We start from the raw sequence: 21,707 nt of genomic DNA, 5'->3' as shown, positions 1-21,707 counted from the left end.
TGGTTATCATCCCTCCTGCACCCAGGCAGCTCACTCTCAGCACTAAACAGTGAGCCCGGCAGGCAGGGAGTTTGTGTCCTGCCCGCCAGAGCACACAGCCTGGTGTGACGGGTCAGACAGTCACCCAGTGAATCAACTGCACTCACTGTGGGAGCCGGCCCGGCCCCATTTCCCCACCCCCACAGCGGAGCCCTCAGTGCTTCAGACCTCTGTGTGCCCGTGGGTAGGAGGGCTGTGGCCCTGGCCAATCCAGTACGGGGGACCCTGCAGCCCGAGGCTTCTCATCCACCAGACCCGCCCTCCCACCTCCATTCCTAGTAATCAAGCCCCCACTCACACCCACCCAGAGCACCCAGGGTGTCCTCCCCACTGCCAGCACCCCGCCACCCTGCAAAACCTCCAGTACTCCTCCTCCTCTCCTCCCCTCCCCTCAAGCTAGGGATCACAGGCCTCTTCCAGACCCGCCTTGGGGTCCTCCCCACACTCTGCTGTCCCCAGGACCCAGCCCCGCCCACTCCATCCGCCCCAGTGCCACCTCCCCCTCCAGTCTCAGCGTCACCCCAGCGTTCCCAAACCCCCTTGCACGGTGGTGCCCTCGGCCTTTGGTTGGGTCCTTCCCCTCCCAGTCCCTTGGACTTCCAGGCCTGGCTTAGATCCTGCCCCTTGCCCACAGACCAGTGCTCTAGGGCCTGGGAGGTGTCGGTACCTGCCGGAGGAGGGTACAGTTGACCCTTGGTGACCGCAGAGATGCCCAGGAGCCCTGCAGCGCAATCTTGGGGAGGGTTCCAGTGCCAGTGCCCTTTTCTGGGCCTTTCTGGCTGGCAGACACTGCAGGGTGGAAGAACTCGGCTGGCATGGGCAGGAGAGGGCTGGAGGCATCCGGGGAGAAGGGACTTGGGGGTGCTGCTGGGAAAGGAGAAGACAGAGCTGAGGGAGCACGCTCAGGCCAGGGGGCAGCCCCTGGAAGGTGGCATTGAGCACCAATCTCACTGGGCCAGCAGTGAGGGGCCACCTAATAAACTGACTGTGAGACTGTGGACAAGTCCCCCCTCTCTAAGCCTTCGTTTCCCCATTGTGAGAGCAAGAGAGAAATCCTGAAGCAGCCCTTTTGATTCCAGGGGGCGGGGGCCCTGGGCAAAGACACAGCTTTTGGAGGCAAGCAGACGCGGGCTCAAGCCTAGCTCTCTTCCTCTGTAAAAGGGAACAAGATGCCATCTTGAGGGGCATAAGGAGAAGAAACAGCTGGAAGCTCCCAGCTCAGTACCAAGTACATAGTAGGTGCTCACTAGGATCAGTCACCTCCAGGTCCTGACCCCACCATGGGGCCTGGCCAGGCCTGGGGGCTACTGTGGGACAGCAGGTGGGTTGGGGCGTCCCAGCCCCGGGTCAGGCGCTACACTGGATGGCAGGTCAGTCTGGCCTGGTTGGCTGCACATGGTGAGGGGCAAGGATGGGGGTGGGGGGTCTGAAGGCTGGGGCAGGTCTGGGTGTGGGGGGCGTGGGGGGTAGCAGCAGCCTCTGCCCACAGTCCCCTCCACACCTTGCAGGTTGAGGGTGAGATAATGGAAAAATGTACCCAAGACGGCTGGACAGTCTGAATGTCCTGGCTGGGGTTCCTATGCCATACCATCTTACCATTTAAGGAAAACGTAAATAAATGGTTGGCTAAAGGGAATGAGATTGCATTCCACCGGAATGGCTCTCGGGTCAGCCCTGTGCCCTGAATTCTGGTTTGGGAAGTCTGGGATCTTGGCACCTCAGCCACCCTGGCCAGCTGAGAGCCCATCAGCTCTCAGGAGGGTGCCCAGGAAAGTCACCCCACCCCTGGCTCCTGGGAGGCGTCCCTGAAGGGTACTTGGGGTGGGCTCAGAGTCTTGGGCATCCCTCTTCTGCTGGGCTCCTCATCTCTCTGCCTCCCTCCACAGCCAGTGATGCGAAACCAGGTTCCTGCCACCCTCCATGAGGACCACAACAAAGATGAGCCCATGATGGCAGGCCAGCTTAGTCCCCTGGCCCTGTGCCCAGAGCCCAGCCACAGGCCCAAAGCATAAACAGAACACTGCAGGTAGGGCTGAAGGATAAGTATCAGGAATTCACAAAACGGCTATTGAAGACACCAGGCTTTCCTATGTTTAACATCCCCGTGTATATGAAGATCTGTGGGCTACACACCTCTCAAATTCAGCTCTAGAAAAACACCACAATAATCTGGCAGCTTTCCTTCTGCTTGATGAGAGCCGTGTGTACCCACCTCTTTCCCTTTTCACCATGGCTCCTAGGAAGCTCAGCATGAAGCTTCCTTTAGATGCTTAGGTTTTTGTTATAATTACCTCATCTTTTTGTACTATTTGGCTCTTGATCTTTTATCATTGTTATATCAGGCCTGAGAGTCTATCTCTCATTGTCAGATATCCATCTGGTTCTTTCTGGACTAAATATAATAATCTGGGTAAAAATACTAAGGAAAAAACTCAGCCATCTCCCTCTGAAGCAGATGCCCAAGATGAGGGCTGTGGGGAGCTGGCAGGGCTCCCACCCCTCACCTTGACTGCTGTCATGTTTCAGCCAGGACCGGACAGGGTTGAATGGGATCTCCTCCATCTCACACAGGAAGTTCTCTGGATCCGGCGAGACGGCCGTAGAGGACAAGGGGAAGAAGCATTCGCCCAGGTCTCCCACACGCATGGGCTCAGGTGGGTCCAGCTCACCCTGCAAGGAAAGGGAGGTAGGATGGGGCAGGACTGGGAAGGGGGACAGCTCATGAAGGGTACCTCATGACCTGCTCCACGGCCCCTTGCTTAACTAGGCTACCCTCATGTCTAGTCTGACCTTCCTCTCACCTCCTCTACCTGACCATCTTCCAAAATCCCGTGAAAGGAATCCACCTCCGAATGCCCACTGGATGCCCCAGGCAGTTAGTGACTTCCCCTGGTACAGACCCTGGCCCAGCGAAGAAGCCAGGTCAAGGCTGGCGAAGGCATCAGAAGACAGGCTGAGTGGCCACACGAGTGTCCCATGAGCATGACCTTGGGTGGGTCCCTTCCCTTTGCTGAGCCTGTTTCTGCATCCAAGGAGAGTAACGCCTACCTTCCTAGGCATTCCCTGGCCCCCACATTCCTCAGCCCTGCAGCCCAGAGTGACCCCTTCCCAGAAGAGCCGCCTTAATGCCCCCTCCAAGGCAGATGAACTCGTGCCACCCCGACCTCCAATGACTTGCTGAGTCTGGCACAAAAGACTGCACCCTGCCCAAGTCCAGCTGAGTCCCAGAAACTGTGCATCCTGATATCCTTTGTAGGAGAGCAGTGTAGGGGTGCGGGGAGCTGCAGCAACTGTTACCAATCAGGGAGGGGACCAAAATGACATGGAAGGGACAGGAGGAACTGGCCCCACAGCCTACTCTGAGCTGATGGAGGGCCAGCCTAGGGGGCAGAGGTACCAAGCCCAGGGTATCCCCCAGCTGTCCCTTACACCCCCCACCCCCAGCAGGGCAGGACCACCTTGACCTTGAGATCAGGAGCCCAGGTCTTGAGATCTCACCCCCTAAGACTGCAGGATCAGCAAGAGCCCCCTCCTGGCCTGCAGGCCTCCTCAGACTGACCCCCTGGGGTGGCTTCCTGCTCTGTCATTCCTGGCTGTGTGATGTGAGCATCGCCCCACTTCTTGGAACCATTTCCTCACATGTGAAGTGGGAACAAATCATCCCTGCTGCACAGAGCCGTGCGGCAGACAAACAGGTGGCACGGGCAGAGCGCCTGCACATAGTAGGTGCTTGTGCCTGACGCGACCGCCCCCGCACATAGCAGGTGCTTGTGCCTGACATGACTCCCCCGTTCGCTTCAGCCTCACAGCCCCGCCGGCCAGGGATGACCCCCCGTGGAATGGACCAGAAAATACTCAAAGCAACAAGAAGCAGCCAGTACTGCTGGGTGCCGGGTTGGAGTGCTGGCTGGGCTTGTGGCTGTGTGACCTCAGGCAAATCACTCCACCTCTCTGAGCCCTACTGCCCTCATCTGTCCAACAGGAGATGAAGGCCTAGCACAGTGGGTGCCGTTTACATGGTAGACTGGAAAGACAGGGGGGTCCTGCCTGGGTGGGCAGGGGCCAGGTTTCAAGGACAGACCCGCCTGCTCAGGAGTCCCCAGGGGAGCTGACCTTGCTGTCTTTGCGGCCAGGTGGGCAGGCTGTGGGGTCCTCGAGACTCAGGTCGTCACCCAGCAGGATGGACGAGGACCTGTCTGAGTTCAGGGAGAAGGCCTCCGTCTCAGCCAGCTGCACCTGCAGGAAGAGGGGGTGGCCTCGGGTCACCCAGGTTTGGGATGGGCAGACCTGGGTCCTGGGGCGTGCAGCCACAGGCCTGAGGCTCTGAAGAGAGGCCGAGCAGTGGTCAGAAAGGTCCAGACACCTGCTGGACACGGATGATGTGTCCATCCTGTGCAGGGGCCCAGCCTGGGTGACATGCGATGGTGACACAGTGGCCACCTCCAGTGGAAGCCAGCTCTGAGTGGCCCATCTTGCTACCTGGACCTGAGGGCAGGTGAGTTGCCGTGGGCTGTGAACTCCACAGCTGTCTGCTTGCCCCCAGACCAAGTGCCCGTCAAGACTGGGCTGGACTTGACTCATCTATGGCCCCATGTGGATGACCTGCACAGCGTGTCACAGGCAGGGGACACTGCGGGGCCCAGAGACACCGGAGAATCTGCAGCCACCACAGGGCAGGGATGTGGGGCAGCCCAGTCCTCCAGCTCCTGCTGATGGTTCCTGGGGACCTGCCCTGCAGCCACCTGAGGCTGGGGCCACTCTGGGGGCTGGAACACCCCAGGGAGAGCTCAGGGGCCCACACTGCTGGGGAGAGGGGAGGGGGCTAACTGCGCCTGCTCTGGAGGCAGGCCCATGGGAACCCCTGAGCTGGGTGGGCCTAAGCCCTGAGGTGGAGGCCAGGACAGGGCACCTGGAGGAGGTTGAGTGCCAGGATGATGCCTTGGGGGAAGAGCGGGCAGATGACCCCTCATGTCACAGAAAGGGCAAGCTGTCCTGCAAGTGACACACAGGCTCCCTGCCTGGCACCTGCAGCACACAAGGTGGGGCAGCTGCCCTACCCAAGCACCTACTGTGTGCGGCATGGTGCTGGGGTCGGCAGCTGTGGCCACCACACCACAGGCCCACACCTGGCCCTGACTCAGGGAGCCAATCTGCCCCAGCCATGGAAGCTACGTGTGCCCACGTTGACCCAGCCTGGTCTCTACAGCCCAGAGCCAGGCTCTGCCCTCGGACAGGCCCCCCACCAGGTTTCGTGCTGCCCCTGCCACAAGGGGCCAGGCCTCCCGGGCTGCCATTACCTCTTGCTTGTCGTGGTGACACTTCTTGCAGCCGGCAGGCGAGGAGTAGTGGTGGAAGATGGAGCCCGACAGGTTGTCGATGATGGTCAGCTCCCCCTCCAAGGAGTCCTTGATGATTAAAGAGACGCTGTCCAGCCACAGGTTCTCCTAGGCGGACGGGGACGGGGTGGGGACAGGCGGGATTATCAGCCGGGTCCCGGGGCTGTGGGGTGGGCAGGACACAGCTGCCCTCCCGGTTGGTTCTCTGCGCCCATGGCCTGGGACCGACCCCCTCATCACAGGGTCACCCCTTCTATGGAGCTGAGCAGGGTGGGGCCCAGAAAGACAGAGGTCTCTGTGCAAGGCCTCCCTGGCCCTGCTGCCCATCTGGCCCTGCGGTGCCCCCCCTCTGGCGACCCTCACACCTCTCCAGCCCCTGCCCACCTGGGCAGGCGAGTAGCAGCGCCGGCACAAGCCGCCCTCGGTGTCGCCCCCGCCGCCCGCCCCTCCCGGCCCTCGGCCAGGGGCGCCCGGGGAGCCGGTAGGCAGCCTCGGGCCAGGGCCCAGGCCATGGGCCATCTCCAGCTCGAGCTCGGCATCCATCTCGGCGTCCTCCTGCGCCTCCTTGTTGCTGTCGTCCAGGTGCTTCATGAGCACAGCCACCACCACGTTGATGAGCACGAACTGCGCGGTGAGCACGAAGCTCACGAAGTACAGCGGCGACACAAACTGCAGGCTGCTCAGGCAGCTGCGCTCGTCGTGGGTGCAGTCCCGCAGCGTGTCCTGCGTGGCAGGGAGGGCGGTGAGGATGAGGACGGAGACATCCCAGAGGCTGCTGGAGGCAGAGGCCAGCCCAGGGCCACGCTCGGAGGCAGCAAGACCGAGATTCAACCCCCGAGATGGCCCCGGGCTGCCCTGCCCCACTCTGCCTTGTTGCGGCATCTGCCTGCCTCAGCTTCAGCTAAGTCCCCGCATGGACAGACGGATGGCCCAGCGCCCTCTCCTCCTCTCTTGCTCCTGCCCATGTCACCCTCCCCACAGCTGGCCTGCTTCCCCGGGACAGTCAGGCCTGAGAAGGGGCATCTGGGGCTTCCTTCAGGGGCCCCTGGGGAGTAGGGTGCATTCGTGACCAGGGCCTCCCTGTCCTTCCTTTCTGGTTTTTCAGCTCAACCCCCAACCACAAAGCCCAAGAAGACTCCATCACCTTCCCGCCCTGGGCTGAGGAGATTGGCCGCCTCTCCCAGCACCCTGGCTTCCTGCCCCCTTGCTGGGGGCACTGGGGGCTCTGCAGGGTGGGGGTGGGAGGCAGAACAGGCCTACCTCTGCCCTCTCCACCCTAGGGCCCCGGAACCGAGGCCTTACCCCTGTCCTCTGGGAGCCCCTCCCTGCCCTTCCCAGCCCAGCCCGGGTTGCAGCCCAGGCCAGGGAGCCTCTGCCGGGTGACCTGGTCAGCGTGGAAATCACTAGGGGGCCTGGCCCTGGCCTTCAGGCCTGCCTGGGCCCCAGGTCCCCTCCGGAACTGGGTGGAGTTGTCTACCCTAGAATCTGAGCCCTGATCCCAGGCAACACTGGGGGATGAGGCAGTGTAGACAGGGGGCCTGTTCTGGCTCAGCTCTCCCCACTGTGCTGGTCCTGGGCAGGCCCCTCCACTCCTCCGTGCCCTGCATGCCCCTCCCATGTGTGGTGGGGCCCTGGGTGGGCAGAGCCCTGAGCAGCAGGACCAGCATCCTCACTGTCCCAGCACCTGGCTGATTTCTCCACCCCAGCCCGCCCAGGAGTACCTTCATGATCCCGTTCCAGTTGTCACCCGTGGAGACCTGGAAGAGTGTGAGGAAGGCCATGCCGAAGTTCTCGAAGGTGGCATGCCGGCTCATGCCCTCGCACGGGTTCTCGTCGTTGCAGACTGGAAGCGGGGAGGAGGTCAGCCCTGCCCGATGGCGGAGTGCCTGCGGGGCTCACCCTGACCTGGTGCCTCCCGCCTCGCCTCAGAACCCTCATCACACCCTAGGAGGGGCCTGCAGACTGTGCCCAGCCCACAGATAAACTGAGGCTCGGGGAGATGGCACATGAGCTGGGGCTCAGGTTTGGGTGAGTCTGGCTCTGCTCCCCGCCGAAGAATGGGTTTCTGAGAAAGAGGGTGAAATGGGGTGAGGGCCAGCCCCTCGGGGAACCCTGCTTTCTGGAGCCATCCCGGTGCAGGGCGGAGCTCAGCGAGCGCTCTGTTGCTCTTTCCCCTGCCCTGGCCTCTCCACTTGCTGGGGTGGCGCTGGCTCAGGACAGGCACCAACACCGGGGTAGGGAGGGCAGTTTTCCTGGGAGACCAGACAGCTGAGGGCCCTGCTGTAGGCATCTCCCCAATACAAAGACCCTGATGTGACGGGCTCAGGGGTCTCAGGCCTCCCCCGCCCCCCCAGTTCCTCCTGCAGCCCTGCTGCACCCCCACCACGGGCCTGCTCTGGGAGTCACTCACCCAGCTTCCCAAAGAGCTCCACCCCGAGAGCAGCATAGATGAAGAAGAGCAGCATGAAGAGGAGGCCCAGGTTGCCCACCTGCGGGAGGACAGGTGAGGCCGGGTGGGGCTGGGGAGCGGGTGGGGGCGCACCAGGCCTGGGAAGGGTGGAGGCTGGGGCAGTGGGGTTGGGCAGCCTGTGGGTCAGAGCAGCTGTAACATTCCCCCAGGCTGTGTGTCCACGTCTGCCACCCCTACAGGACCTGGAGGGCAGGCTGGGTCCAGCACAGGGCTCAGAATAACAAGAAAACACTTGTGCCACCTTTACCACAAGCTGTCCCATTTCCAGCACTTAAGGTTCATGAGCTCACTTCCTCCTCACAATAATCCACGAACTATCTTTTATCCCCATTCTTCAGAAGAAGAAGGAGACAGACTGAGAGGTGACATCACTTGTCCAGAGTCGCACAGCTAGTAACTGGTAGGACAAGGGTCCAAACCCAGCAGGCTGGCCCCAGGGTCCATGCACACAATCTATGCTACACGCCTTGAGTGGCTACCAAGGTTGAATGGATGGATGAACGAAGGGAAGGGAGAAGGCAGGAGGTCTCAGCTCTAACACTAGCTCCTCTACGAAACCACCGAAATGCACTTATCCCTGTCACTGTCATCTGCTGGTCTGGGAAATCTTCAAGAGCAGGAACACAGCTGCATGAGGTCAGATTTGCCTCCTTGGGCCAGCATGAGGCCTGGCCATAGAGAGGAGGGAAGGCAGGAATCACGCAGGCCCGTGGGCCCCAGAAGCCTCTGCAAACCCAGCCACCCCCATCCCACAGCTCCTGTGGGAGAAAGCGTCCCAGATTCCAAACCTAGTTCAAATCTATCCATGCATTGGAGACCACCTTTAACTCATGCTATGGATAAGATAAGGCTAAAACACATTCTTGCCCTAGAAATGAAATATCTCTTAGAACCCTCAGAAGGCCTTAGAACCCTCAGAAAACGTTCACGTTAACTGCTGAAAAGTAAACCCCATTAATCACCACTCCTCGAGTTTCTCCGCTCCACTCCAGAGCAGGGTTTCCTGGCCAGCCGTTCTACACTGCTAGTGTCTGACTAATTAAATGATGTTCCCTTCATTAATAAAACAAGCACTTACTGAGCACCCGTGAGGCCAACTGTAAGGCCCTGACCGCTGAGAAGGATCTGGCGTGGTCGCGGCTCTAGGAATTCAGCTTTGTGCCCTGCACAGGCCGGCGGGGGCAGCATCTCTTAACCAGGATTGCCGTCAGCTTTTCTATCTGTCCCCTCCCTGCTGTCAGCATCTCAGAGCCGGCAGGGTTGCAGCAGCCTCCTCACCAGCTTCCCTGCCTCCAGCCTCTCCCTCCAATCCATTCTCCTCCCAGCCAGCAGAGCCACCTTCTCAAAGGCAGCTCGGCTGCAGCCTTCCTTGTCTAGAACCCTCCTGTGGCACCTGCTGCCTGCAAGATAAAGCCCAATTCTGCTGCCCTAGCACTGAAGGTGTGCTGTGACCTGGCCCCCAGGGACCCCCCTCCCAGCCTGATCTTCCAATCCCACACACTCCAGCCACACAGAAAACAGCCCCACAGTGCCTTGGCATATTATTTTCCCTCTGCAGGGAGGACCCTCTATCTTTGCCTGTAAAATGCCTCCTCCCCACCCCTCAAAGCCCAGTCCATGGGTCACCTCCCCTGAGAAGCCTTCTCTGATGCCTCCTCCCTCTTCTTGGGGCAGAGACTGGTGGGAAGAGGCTGAAGTTTCATTTTCCTAGCACTTTACGTAGAATCGAGGAAATGGCCAATGTCCATACAACAACATGAGCAACAGCAAATGGATTTTGAGGGGTAAGCACCATTTCACGGCCAGTGGCACTTGGCACGTGCTTCTTCTCAAGTGCTAATGCACTTGTAATGACTACCTTGGGTCTCCTGCTGGAGGCTGGGATGTCCTGAACATCTCCATGTGCCGTGCCCCATGCCAGCTCCACACTGGATTTGGGAGTCATGATAGAACCGCCCAGGGGTCAGAGCATGGGGAAGGGGAGAGGGAGCAAGGAGGCCAGGGAGGCCGAGCCACACACTCACCATCCCCACCCCTAGCAGCCTCTTAAATGGCACTTCTCATGAACCAGACCTCTTAAGTGCTTCATAAGCTTTAACCATCTGACACCTCACCGCCGCCCTTTGAAATAAGCGCTTGAGGGAGCGATGCTTCACCACCATCCTCATTTCACAGGCAAGGAAACTGAGGCACGAAAAGCTAAGTCGCATGCCCAGGGCCCAGGCTTTGCTCTCAAGCATTATGGCCCAAGCCGGGGCTCCAATCTACTTCCTGTCGGCACAGCCTGCAGCCCAGCATCACCCCCATCTCCCATGGGACAAAGTCCCCTGAAGGGGTTTAGTGTTAGGAAAAACCACGTCTCTGAATGAATGCCCTTGCTTTCCATCCAGACCATGCCACTTTCCCTTTATACCAAGGCTGCTGGGAAGCTCACACCAAATTCAGGAACAGAACTCACCCATGTCCTTAGCCCCGGTCCCCGAAAGAATTAGCTCTGCTTCCACCTTCCCTGGGCCATTAATCTTGTATCCTCATTTTTAATGTGCAGTATCTGTGCCTTGTATTTTAAGGCACCTAAACTTCCTGATGACTCGTTGAGTCATAATGAATAAATGTGCCTGAGGCTCAGCTGAGAGCAGAGGCCACCCTGAGGGGAGGGGGAAGGGGAGCCTCAAGCAGTCAAGACAGCGGGGGAGGGAAGGACTGGGATTGCAGAATTCTCGGGAGGATGAAAAAGATGCCCTCTGTGGCCCTGATCACATCTCCCCTTTCACTAACCGCAGGGTGCGGGTAGAGCAACTTCCCTAACTTCTCAGATCCCCACCTGGGTCAGGGTCTCATGCTGCCCCTCCTGGAATGCCATCTCGGAACTTCTCCATCCACACTGCCACCTCCTTCTGCCAAGCCACCCTTGGAAGTCAAGCTCAAAGGTCCCCTTTCCTAGGCTGCCTTCCCTGATCTCCCCAGGGAGTGTCTGGCACTCTTCTCTCTCTCTGGAGCATGCTGGAGGTCCCTCCCCACATCTCCCTGAAGTATCCATCTCCCTCCACCAGCCTGGGGGCAACCAAGGGCACAATGTGGACCCTCAGTGCGTGCACAGGGCTGGACACAGAGTGGCACTGGCAACCACATGGTGAAACTGGAAGAAAGAGGCATAAAGGGACCCTTCCTGCCTCTCAGCCCCTGGCTCAAAATGCATCCCCAGAGACAGCATCTGCCCTGGCTCTGGCAGATGTGAGGAGAAGGGAAATCAGGGCCTTCATGCCCCAGGGCCCAGCCTGACACCAATGACCCCTAGGAGGGCTGCCAGAAAGAGTGGCTCTTACCTGGGGCAAAGCTTGCACCACCGTGTCCAGCAGGGCCCGCATTCCTGTGGCCATCTTCAACAGCTTCAGCACTGCGGGCGAGACCCAGCCCTGCCCACTCAGCCCCAGGCCGGTGGGGACGTGTGTGTGCACGCATGTGTGCACGTGTGTAAACTTGGGAGAAGAGAACATGAAGGCACGTGCAAGCAGAGTCTGGCTCTCAGATACCACATTACAAGAATGTGGGTGCAGCCACAGGGTGAGTGGGGCATGCACAAAAACATGTGGACACAAGGCGTGGGTGTCACTGTAGAAAAGCCCCCGAGGACGGGGCATACTCATGGAAACTGAGGTCTATGAAGTGTGTGAATGGGTGGGCCATGAACTGTCACGGGCACAAAGGACCAGCGTGAGTGGCCACATCTCTTCTCTTCCCCTCTCGATAAAGAGGACTCTGGCATCACTCGCTGAGTTTCTGGCAGGCAGAAGAGCAAGAGGCACCTGGGCTCGCCCTGAGGCAGGAGGCTTTTAAAAGAAGTGTACGAACTACCTTGAGGGGAGGGAGAAGGATCTCTGAAGACCGTGCGTCCCAGTCACTGTGTTTGAGAAATGCCAGCGAGGAACTGGAGGTGTTTCACATCTTCCCAGTTGGACTGGGTTCCTTGCATCACACTCTGAGACTGGACCCCATGGGTCATGGCGTCATAAGGAAGTGGGAGTGTGTGTCCATGTGTGCTATGCAAAGTTGCCTGTGTGTTGGGGGAGGTGTGTGCACACAGAGGGTGCATGCGTGTGTGTTGGCTGTGTGCCTCCCAGCTCCTTCTCACCCCTGTTCAGCAAGGAGCCCACCATGCCTGCAAACTCCTGCCCCCACCCCTCCCCACCCCACTCCTGTGTGTTCTCATCAGGCAATGAGGAGTCTCATCCCGCCCCTGCTTGTCCCCGTTCCCTGTCCCACCCCTTGCCCCTCACCTCGGGCAATGCGCAGAACCCTCATGATGCGGATGATGGTGGGATTGATGGGCAGGGCCGCATTGATCTCGATCTCCTCCAGGGTGATGCCCATGACTGACAGTAGCACAATGGCCAGGTCCAGCTGGTTCCATCTGCTCAGCCGTGCATGGGAGGGCAGGAGTGGGCATGAGGAGGATCCCTCTGGTTCAGACACACCTTAGTGGGGGGAGCCTCCCAGGTCCTGACCCTTCTATTGTGGCCCATTAGGCTGTGTGGCTGCCCTCCCTTACTAGCCCCTCCTAACGCCACTGGGTCCAGGCCCCTCTCTGCTCCCCATAGCCATCACTCCGTCAAGCAAGGGGCTGATCAGGCTAAATAAATATCTCTGGCCTCCTGCAGGAGAGGAGGCATGGACTATGACTTCCAAGTCTAATCTTGAGCTGGCTGCTCTCTCTGTCTGGCCTTAGGCTAGTCCATCAACTTCTTTGAGCCTCACTATTCCCTTCAAAAAGGAGTATTAGCATGAGGCAGACCCTGCTCTGCCCATAGGGTAGAGACAACGTACCAAAGATGAGCCAAGAAGGGCCAGGTAGAATGCCCTACGCCCATCAGATGATACCATAATTATTTCCTGTTCAGAGCTATAAGCAGCAGCTGGGGTGCCTGTCCATCCGTGCCTAGATGCTTACTGGTTCCCCTCTTCAGGCTGCTCCAGACTTCCCTAAGGGTCAGGACTGCTTCTTCATCCTGCAGTCTACCCTATTACTGCCCTAATCCAGCCTGGCCACTCACCGGTCCTTGAAGAAGCGCCTCAGACCAAATGCCACCAGCTTCAGCACAGCCTCCAGCACAAAGACAGTGGTGAACATATAGTTGCAGTACTTGAGGGCTGTCTCCAGGGACTATGGAGGAACAAAGAGAAGCATGATCCAGGGCACATGACCTGCTCCACAACCTTCCTCCACTCAGAAAGTCTCTGCCTTTTAAGGAGAGAATTTAGTCCATTTACTTTTAGTGTAATTATTTATATGCTGCTTTTATTCTTTCCATCTTAGTGTGTACTATTTATTTTATGCTGCTATTCCTTCTGTTCCCTTTTTCTTATTTATGTGTATCTGGTCGAGTTGGTACCTTTGGAGGCAATATAGGGTATTAATGAAGAGCTACTGAGCCAGACTGCCTACATTTGAATCCTGGCTTAGTGCTCACTCCATATTCACCTTATGATCTTGAGTAAGTCATTTCATCTTAGAAAGCTGGTATGCAAATTAAATGAGCTGATAGTTCGGTGCTGGAAACAGAATAATACTTGGTAAATGTAAGCTATTAATATTCCATTTTTCCTGTTAATTTGGAAGTTGTATAATTATTGTTTCATTCTGCCAATGGTTATCTTTCTTTTTTCTGCATTCATAATATTCCTCTCCCATCATTTGAAATAAGGTATTAATTTCACACCTGGCGGCTCTGCTTCCCTCTTCTTCCCCTCCAACTCCATCAGGGTTTTTAGAATGCACTTGCTCCTCACATGCCCCTCACATACCTGGTCTGCAACAAGCTGGGAAATGGTCATCCTCACCCACCCCCAGTGTTTGCCTGAAATGGTCCTTCCACCCTTTTGCCTCGTCTCCATATACCCAGGTAGTAAAGGAGGCTACATGGTAGGCTTTGAATGCAAATCTAAGTTCCAGACCTGGTTCCACTACCTATGGCTGAGTAATTTGGGCAGCATATTTAACCTCTCTAAGCCTCAGGCTCTTCACCTATAAAATCCAGACAAAGGATTCCCCCTGCCAGCCTTAGGATTGCTGCGAGGATTAAAGAGTTCATATATGTAGCGTGCCTTGCAAAGAGTCAATATTTAACACATCACAGTCATTGCCACCCATGTGCAAGCCACGGTCCAAATCCTGCCTCCCTGACCCACCTTCCCTCTGACCGTTCCCTTCCAGACTCTGAGCTTCCTGAGGGCAAGCTTGTCCGGCACCTCCTCCCACTGCAGTGCCCAGCATAGAGCCCAGCATGGAGGGGCTGCTCACATCCTGCTATCAGCTAACCCCTTCCCCACCCTATCCCTGGGGTGGGGTCCTGCTGAGACCCCACCCTCACCTTGTAACCTTGGGCTGGGAGGCAGACCAGGGCTCACCGTGGGCTGATTGTAGTGCTCCAGGGACATGGTGACCACGTTGAGGCAGATGATGAAGGTGATGAAGATGTCCAGGTAGTGGCTGGTGCACATGGAGTGGATGAGCAGCCGGGTGTGACAATAGGTGGCATAGTAGGGCAGCCGCTGGGCCTCTGCAGGTGGTGCAGGGGGAGTGGCAAAGACCACAGAGGGTTGGGGTCAAGGGAAAGGGCACAGAGCACAAAGGACAGAAAGGTGGAGGAAAGGGAGGGGGCAAAGAGGAAGATGTTGATCCACCCCAGGCCCTGGGATCAGTGTTAGATCTCCTCCACCCAGCCAAAGCACCATGAGAGAAACTGTGGAGAAGGGTGACAAAGAAGGCAGGACATTCATTCTCTCCATCTACCCCAAATGAGCTTGTGGCAGGAGCTCTGGGCCTGCCTGCTGGGAGGGCAGGTTTCCCATGGCCCAGGGCACCCAGGGTCTGCCTTTGCCCTATGCCTGGGCTGAACCCCCAACAGCCTCACTCAGGTTGGCAGTGGTGTCAGCCATTGGACTCTGGATGGACACTGATGGGGCTCAGATCCCCTGGACAGGAAGATGCTGGGAGAAGTGGCTGAGCCCTGGGCACAGGGGCTGTATCTTTTGTTCCCTTCCAGCTCCAAAGGCTCAGGAGGCTGGGGTCAGGCCCAGGCAGAAGGGCTTAGAGCTGGGTGGCCCACGCCCTCCACAGGCACCCACTCACTCCGGCGCTTCTTCTCCAGGCGCCGCAGCCGCTTCTCCTCACGCCGCCGTGCCTCTTCAGCCTCCTGGTGCTGCCGGCACTTGTGGAAGTTCTCCACCACGACACCCACAAACATGTTGAGCACAAAGAAGCTGACGATGAGCAGGAAGGAGATGAAGTACAGCAGCATCCAGGGGTTGTGGTTGGTCACAGGCTGCAGGGGAGTCAGAAAGGGCTGAGGAGGCTGATTGGGCCCTACAGGGCCATGGGGAGGTGCCCATCCTGGCTGAGCCTCCATGGAGTGGGCATGTGTTGAGCCTGCCTCCAGGAAGGTGGCTGTGAGGTCTAAATGAGGCAGCAGGTAAGAAGTAAATACCCTGGGCATGGCACAATATCGTCCTCAGCCAAGAAAGCCACCTCTCCTTCCCTGCTCAGTGGCTGCCTCCTGGAAACATCTGTCTTCTTCCTCTCATTGACCTATCCATTCATTCACCTATGCATGCATCCATCCATCCATCCACCTATCCTCCCACTCACCCACCCATCCATCCACCACCCATCCATCCATCCATCCACCCACCCATCCATCCACTCATCCACCCATCTATCCATTCACCCATCTATGCATCCACCCATCCATCTACCCACCAGCCAGCCAGCCAGCCACCCATTCATTTATCTACCCACCCATCCATCCACCCACCCATCCATTCATCCATCCACCCATCCATCCATTCACCCATCCATGCATCCACCCATCCATCCACCCACCAGCCACTTATTCGCCCATCCAGAAATAAGGCAGAAAACAAGGCGGCCAGCAGAGGGGAGAACTTGGATGCACAGATTCCTTGGTGGAATCCATGTACGCATGTGCATGCATGCACTGGTGGGGGTGAGGAGACAGAGCAGACAAGGAAATAGAGAAAGATGCGTCCAAGTGTTCGCATTCCTCCCACACAATACTGCCACCCCCACGTCCAGCTCCAGAGCCTTACTGGGTGGGACCCATGAAGCCAAGAGCCAGAGGTCCATTACCAGCCTGGGAGTTGCACACAGCCCTGCTTCCACCACTGAGTGGGCCCTGTCTTGAGCTAGAGAATCTTTCTGTTTCTTCTCCCAGTGACCCCCTCAGTCTGGACACAGCCAACCTTGGTCAGCCACACGTCTTGCCTAAAGTCCCCGCCTAGCCCCAGAGGGACCCCTGCTACTCAGGGGTCTCAGAAGCCAAGGCTGAGTCTCCTCCCTGACTTCCTCCACCCAATCCCCCTCCCCAAATCCATCTTCACCCAGCAGCCCTCAGGAAGCTGCACTGACAAGCAGACCTGACAAGCAGGGACACCACTCTTGCTGTAAGTCCCTCACCGGCTCTCTCTGCCCTCAGAATAAACTTTTGCCCCTTGTCATGGCACACCCGGGGGCTTGCAGACCACCTAACACTACCTGCCTCCTCTCCCCACCTCATGCCTCTCTCACTTTCTACTCCTGGCTCCCAACTCCCAATTCCCTAAACACATCACTCTCTCACACTCTGTTCCTCTACCAGCTGGCTCAGCCCCTCTTCTCTGCCTGCACTTGGTTCTCTACCCACCAGGCTCTGCACCCTTCCAGGCAGGGTGCAGCTCAGATGCCTCTTCACACAAAGTGGGGGGGTTTGCCAAAGCAAATGGAACGACGACTTACGCTACCCGAGGAGGGACTGTAATGGTGAAGATTCAGGCCAGGATGTGAGGAGTGGGCTGTGCTGACAGTGGGGAGACACTGGGGCTGTGGAACTCATTGGCACCAGTTTCAAATTCAAACCACTGGGCCCCAAGGACACCATGTTCCTCCCTGCATCAAGGCTTGGCCTGGTCCCAGCTACACCCACCTGCTGGTCCACAGCAACAGCATCCAGTCCATTGTACATGATGTTCACCCAACCATCCTTGGATGCCAGGACAAAGAGGGACATCAGAGCCTGGGAGACATGGGGAGGCGGAATGCAGGGGTGAGGACTGTGAGTGACTCCAGCTGCAGCCACCCCTCCTCAGCTCTCTATTCTTCTGCCCTTGGGAGGCAGAGGGACAAAGAGGTCTTCTCTGTGTGGCAGAGCTGTGCCCTCGTCCAACAAACTTTCCTAAGGACCTACTATGTGCCTGCCACATACTCTTGTAGTTACTGTTATAGAAGAAAAAGTGCTGGACCCACGGTCCTGGGTTTTGGTCTCAGCTCTGAAATTATCCAGCTGTGTGATCTTGGGCAAAAAAAAATTCATGAACTCCTGTCCCCTCACCCACAGAATGGAGCTAACAAATACTTTTCTGGCAGGTGTGCTGGGAGGGCCAGCTGAGGCTCAACCAGACGGTCCCTGCCATCCTTACTCCAGTGGGTAAGACACGCTTGCCCCAGCATCTGAAAACAGGAGCTCGTGAGAGGAGTCAGGAGCCCTGGGTCAGAGCCCAGGCTGTGCCACTCACTGGCTATGTGATTTGGGGCAAGTTCCTTGATGTCTATGGGCCCATTTCCTCATCTGTAAAATGGTAATAACTCCTCTCCCTGGTTTTGAAAAGGAGGTGGTTCCCAGAACACAGCCACCCAAGGCTCCCACAGAGATGGCAGATCAGCATCCTCATGTCCCTTAAGTGAGTTCACATCTGGTTCTGCAGCACCCAGCACAGAACCTTGCACACAGCAGGTGCTCAGTAAAGGTTTTCTGAACTGAACTTGAGCACAGCCTCCTGTGCCATCTTTGCACCAGTAGTTAGTAGGTTCACAAAGGGTCCCATTTCATCTGAAACTGCCCGGAGGTTACATGTCCTACTCAGGAAGCCCTCTCCCCAGGGCAGAGGTGGTCTCACCCCCCTCTGCGCTCCTGCCACTGTGGGCCAGGGCATGGGGTTCTGGAATGAGTCTCTGGCCCTGCACTGGCCCCTCCTTCCCACCATCCAGAGCACAGACCCCTTCCTCTTCCCTTCCCAGGTGGGAATGGTGCCAAAGGTATCCAGAAAGTGTTCAGACCCAGGAGCAGGGAAAGCAGAGGAAGACCCCCTGCCAAGGGCACAGGAGGCTCCTACATTCCAAGGACCTGCCATCACTGTCCCTGTTGACAAATGAGGACACTGGAACAGAGGGTCTGGCACGTGTCTGAGGGCACACGGCTGGTAAGGGCCACTGAGGAGTCAGAGGCTGCAGGCCAGGTTGGAACCCTCCAGGTGGCTCCGAGTACAGAGAACACCCCACGCAGGGTTCCAGGAGAGCCAGGCAGACCCAGAAATGCTCCAAAGGGGCGGAGCTGGCACTGGGGCGGGGCCCATAGGTGAAGGGGGTCAGGAGCACGGGCACAAAAGGCCGCTGGCTGGTTCCCCCTCAACTTCCTAAGACATCTTTTCCCCAGGAGGGCAGGGGTAGTGACTGTCCTGGTTCCTGACACCCTTTCCCTGGGCACTCACTACCCCTCCAAGGCCCTGTGGCTCCCCTCCCAGGTGCCATTGTGGGGCAAGCCCTCCAGTGGGATCTAGCTGGAGGCTGCCCATCAGCCAGTGGGGGACGAGGGCCTGGAGCCTGCTCCTCCCTGTGTGCCCTGGGGCAAGGCACGCCTACGTCTGGACATACCTGGCCTCCTGGGCAGGCCCTCGAGAAATGAGAGCAGGGAAGGGGAGGCAGCCAGCCAAGGGCCCTCACCTGGGGCACTGCCCAGATGGGTCACACCTGGCAGGCCCTCAGGAGAGGAGACCAAGGGGAAAGCAGACACCAGGCAGGGGTCTGCCTGCCGACAGAGCAGAGAGCAGCGGTGGGTGAGGGGAGAGAGTACCACCCCGGGCCAAGGGCTTGATATCCTTTCATCTCGACCGCAGCCTGCCTGGCAGGCTATAACATTCCCATTTCATAGATGAGGAAACTGAGGCTCAGGGAGGCCACACCTACAGAAGGTGGCAGAGCTGGATTCACCTCCAGGACTGCTTGATTCTAAAACTCCTGTCAGGGGTCCCTGGGTCGGGGGTGGGAGCCAAGAACCAATGTTCACAAAGCACCTACTAAGTGCAGGCATTTGCTGGGCACTCTGCACACAGACTCTCTAAGCCTCATCCCACCTGAGAGGTGAGTGCTACCCTTACCCATTTTGCAGAAGAGGAAACTGAGGCTTGGAGAGGAGAAGTCAGTGTCAGTCCTGGCAGTGCAAGACAAGCCAGGTCTGTGATTCCCAGAGCCACTGGCATCCAAGAGAGGGGAGGGTCTGATCAGGGCTAGGACGGTGGTGCTCACCTGGCCCAGGTTGTCGAAGTTGTATTTGTGATGGACCCAGCGGTAGTTGGCGGCCATGCAGTCCGAGCGGTTGGTGATGTTGCGGGTGTCCACGCCCAGACAGTGGTAGAACTTGCCCTTGAAGAGCTGGGGAAAGGGGGTGAGGTTGGTGCTCTCACAGGTGAGGGTTGCAAGTCAGAGAGGAACTCGCCTCTCGATCGCGTTTACTCAGACTGTCTTGTGCTCAGTCATCTGGGCCCATGTCTGTCTCCCTCCCTGGAGGAGAAGCCCACAGCTGGCAAGGCGCATGAGGTTGGAATGTGGAGTCTCTCCCCTGGCTGTCTGAGACTTCCTTTTCCCCAGTCACAGAGCCCAGTCCCTGCCCAGACTGGGCACCCCTCACCTGCACTCCCAGGATGCCAAAGATGATGAAGAAGGCACAGCAGATGAGCACGATGTTGCCGATGGGCTTGAGGGAGGAGATGAGTGTCTCCACCACCAGCTTCAGGCCCGGCGCCCGGCTGATGACACTGACGGCAGGGAGAGGCCAGGCACACATAATCCCTTGGCCAGGCCAGGAGGCAGCCCCTACTCAGCCCAGAGTCACCAGGGCTGAGTATCCCAGGGCATGAGTCCCCAGGGCTCACCAGGGCTGAACACCCTGGGGCATGAGGACAGTCTCCAGGAATGCAGAGAAAGTGGCCAGGCAGCCCAGACACGGGCAGAGCAGGAGGCAAGCTGCACCCAGGCCTCAGATCTACAGCAGCAGCAGGGTACGTGCCCTCACCCCTCACTGTGCCCAGCTCCTCGGGGTCCACACCACACCCTGGTCTAGGGACTGATACCCAGAGATGGCAACGAGCCACTCAGGGACACGCAGAGTGGGCAGCAATACTGGGGTCCAGCTTCAGCCCTGCTCTTCCAGCATACCCCACCCCCAGGGTCTGCAGACCCCTCCCCCGGGAACAGCTCAGGGTGTTTGGCACTCACTATTGGAGGACCGAGTGGGCGGGCGGGGAGGGCGGAGTGAGGGCCCAATTCGACCCGTGGCTTCTCGGTACAGTGCATGACACTTTCCCCCATCCGCCCAGGAGGGGTCCTCACCGCAGGGGGCGTAGGGTGCGCAGGAGCCGCAAGACTCGGAGGACCCCCAAGATCTTGGCTCCCCCGGCTGAGGCCAGGGACACCACGATGTCGATGATGGACACGAAGACAAGAAAGCCATCCAGCACGTTCCAGCTGCTGCGTAGGTACGCCTGCTCGCCGAAGTACAGGCCCAGCGAGACTACCTGGGGCGGGGGTGGGGCCGGGGTCAGGCTGCCGCGGGAGGGGCGGGCAGGTGGGCGGGGCCAACCGGGCTCTATGCAAGGGGGCGGGGCGAGGCCTGATCGGCTTCGGGGAGGGGGCGGGGTCCTGCAAGTGGCGGGGCCGAAGGGAAGGGGAGGGTTCAGGCCGCCCTCTGAGGGCGGTTGATGGGAGGGGACAGGGCAGGGTCAGGGCCCAGCAGGCCGCCCTGTTAGGTTCCCGGTGCCTCTGGCAAATCCAATTGAAAACTGCCCGCCCTGGGAAGCGCCCCAGACGGGATGCTTCCCCTGCGCCCCACACCTCTAGCAGGTGCCTCCATCACACTCAGTGTTCCCTGCACCCATCTGTCTGGTGGGTTTGTGACTCCTGTGAATGGGGACGGGGCTGACCCCCTCTGGGTCGCGGGAGCCCAGCCCCGGGGCTGGCACCCAGAGGGGTGGGCCATGGGGCTACGAGTGAAATGAAGCCGATGGCAGGCGAGTGACAAGCTGAGGCAGGGGCTGACCCAGGGCCAGGGGCCCGAGCTGGGGCTAGCAGGGGTCCCGGGTGAAACCGGGAGCTACCTTCAATGTCATCTCGCCCACGAAGATGGCCGTGAAGATGTAGTTGGACACGGTGAGAAAGATGCGTTCCTGAAAGCATCGGGAGATACCATAGGCTCAGGGGCTCCCAGAGCTGCCCGGCCACTGGCCAGCCGCTGCTTTGGCCAAGGTTCGTAGAGGAGAGGCTGCCACCTCTCAGTTCACGGAGGCTTTCCCCGCCCCAAAGGCAAACTTCCTGTCCTGCCTCCCCACCTCGGTGAGGTCTCCCTGCCCTGCTCAGCCCTGGCGAGCTGTCCCTTGGCCTGGCGCCTGCCCTGCCCAAAGGCTACAGCCACTCACGGTGCTGCCGGCCTCGATCTGAGGCCGCTCCAGGGCGATGGTGATGCAGTTGAGAAAGATGAAGGCCAGGACGACGTAGTCGAAGAGTTTGTGGGCAATAATGGTCTGACACAGGACCCGGAACCTGGGCAGGGTGGGCGGGGGCTGCCTGAGCGTCAGCTGCCTCCCACCCTGGCCAGAAGGAAGGCAGAGGGCCCAGGCAGCAGTGCAGACCACGCTGGCCTCGAGGAAGCAACCCCTATCCTCTCCTCTGGCCAGGTGCCGACTCTACACCTGCTCAGGGTGCCCACCTGGCGCTGCCTCCTCTGACCATACACCCACACCACGAGGTCACCCACCTTTCC

General features: G+C 58.6%; 1 protein-coding gene across 4 annotated transcripts in view, besides 1 other annotated feature; it reads right to left on the bottom strand.

The window, feature by feature from the left end:
- The window catches only part of CACNA1I (calcium voltage-gated channel subunit alpha1 I), a 118,983-nt gene that overhangs the window by 4,531 nt on the left and 92,745 nt on the right, over positions 1-21,707 (bottom strand). For 3 of the 4 annotated variants that reach the window (NM_021096.4, NM_001003406.2, XM_017029036.2), the window contains 18 exons: positions 21,364-21,487; positions 21,046-21,114; positions 20,282-20,466; positions 19,581-19,707; positions 19,199-19,324; positions 16,824-16,913; positions 14,975-15,167; positions 14,251-14,402; positions 12,897-13,006; positions 12,123-12,256; positions 11,172-11,242; positions 7,786-7,864; positions 7,097-7,218; positions 5,760-6,098; positions 5,337-5,483; positions 4,153-4,275; positions 2,544-2,709; positions 707-903 (listed from right to left, as the gene is read on the bottom strand). In NM_021096.4, the coding sequence (NP_066919.2) occupies positions 707-903; positions 2,544-2,709; positions 4,153-4,275; positions 5,337-5,483; positions 5,760-6,098; positions 7,097-7,218; positions 7,786-7,864; positions 11,172-11,242; positions 12,123-12,256; positions 12,897-13,006; positions 14,251-14,402; positions 14,975-15,167; positions 16,824-16,913; positions 19,199-19,324; positions 19,581-19,707; positions 20,282-20,466; positions 21,046-21,114; positions 21,364-21,487 (2,554 nt within the window). Of the gene's footprint in view, positions 1-706; positions 907-2,543; positions 2,710-4,152; positions 4,276-5,336; positions 5,484-5,759; positions 6,099-7,096; positions 7,219-7,785; positions 7,865-11,171; positions 11,243-12,122; positions 12,257-12,896; positions 13,007-14,250; positions 14,403-14,974; positions 15,168-16,823; positions 16,914-19,198; positions 19,325-19,580; positions 19,708-20,281; positions 20,467-21,045; positions 21,115-21,363; positions 21,488-21,707 lie in introns of all 4 variants that reach the window. The other variant, XM_017029035.3, reaches the window with a different exon arrangement.
- Positions 20,888-21,417: an enhancer, noted in NCBI's record as "H3K27ac-H3K4me1 hESC enhancer chr22:40059793-40060322 (GRCh37/hg19 assembly coordinates)". NCBI's record gives its function as "activates a minimal SCP1, AML or CMV promoter by ChIP-STARR-seq in naive H9 embryonic stem cells {active_cell/tissue: H9 hESC(naive)}" and the evidence as "EXISTENCE:reporter gene assay evidence [ECO:0000049][PMID:30033119]".

Source organism: Homo sapiens, chromosome 22, assembly GCF_000001405.40.
Source record: "Homo sapiens chromosome 22, GRCh38.p14 Primary Assembly".
Taxonomy (NCBI): domain Eukaryota; kingdom Metazoa; phylum Chordata; class Mammalia; order Primates; family Hominidae; genus Homo; species Homo sapiens.
Note: the sequence above shows the minus strand (reverse complement) of the source record. Positions and strands in the feature narration are given on the sequence as shown.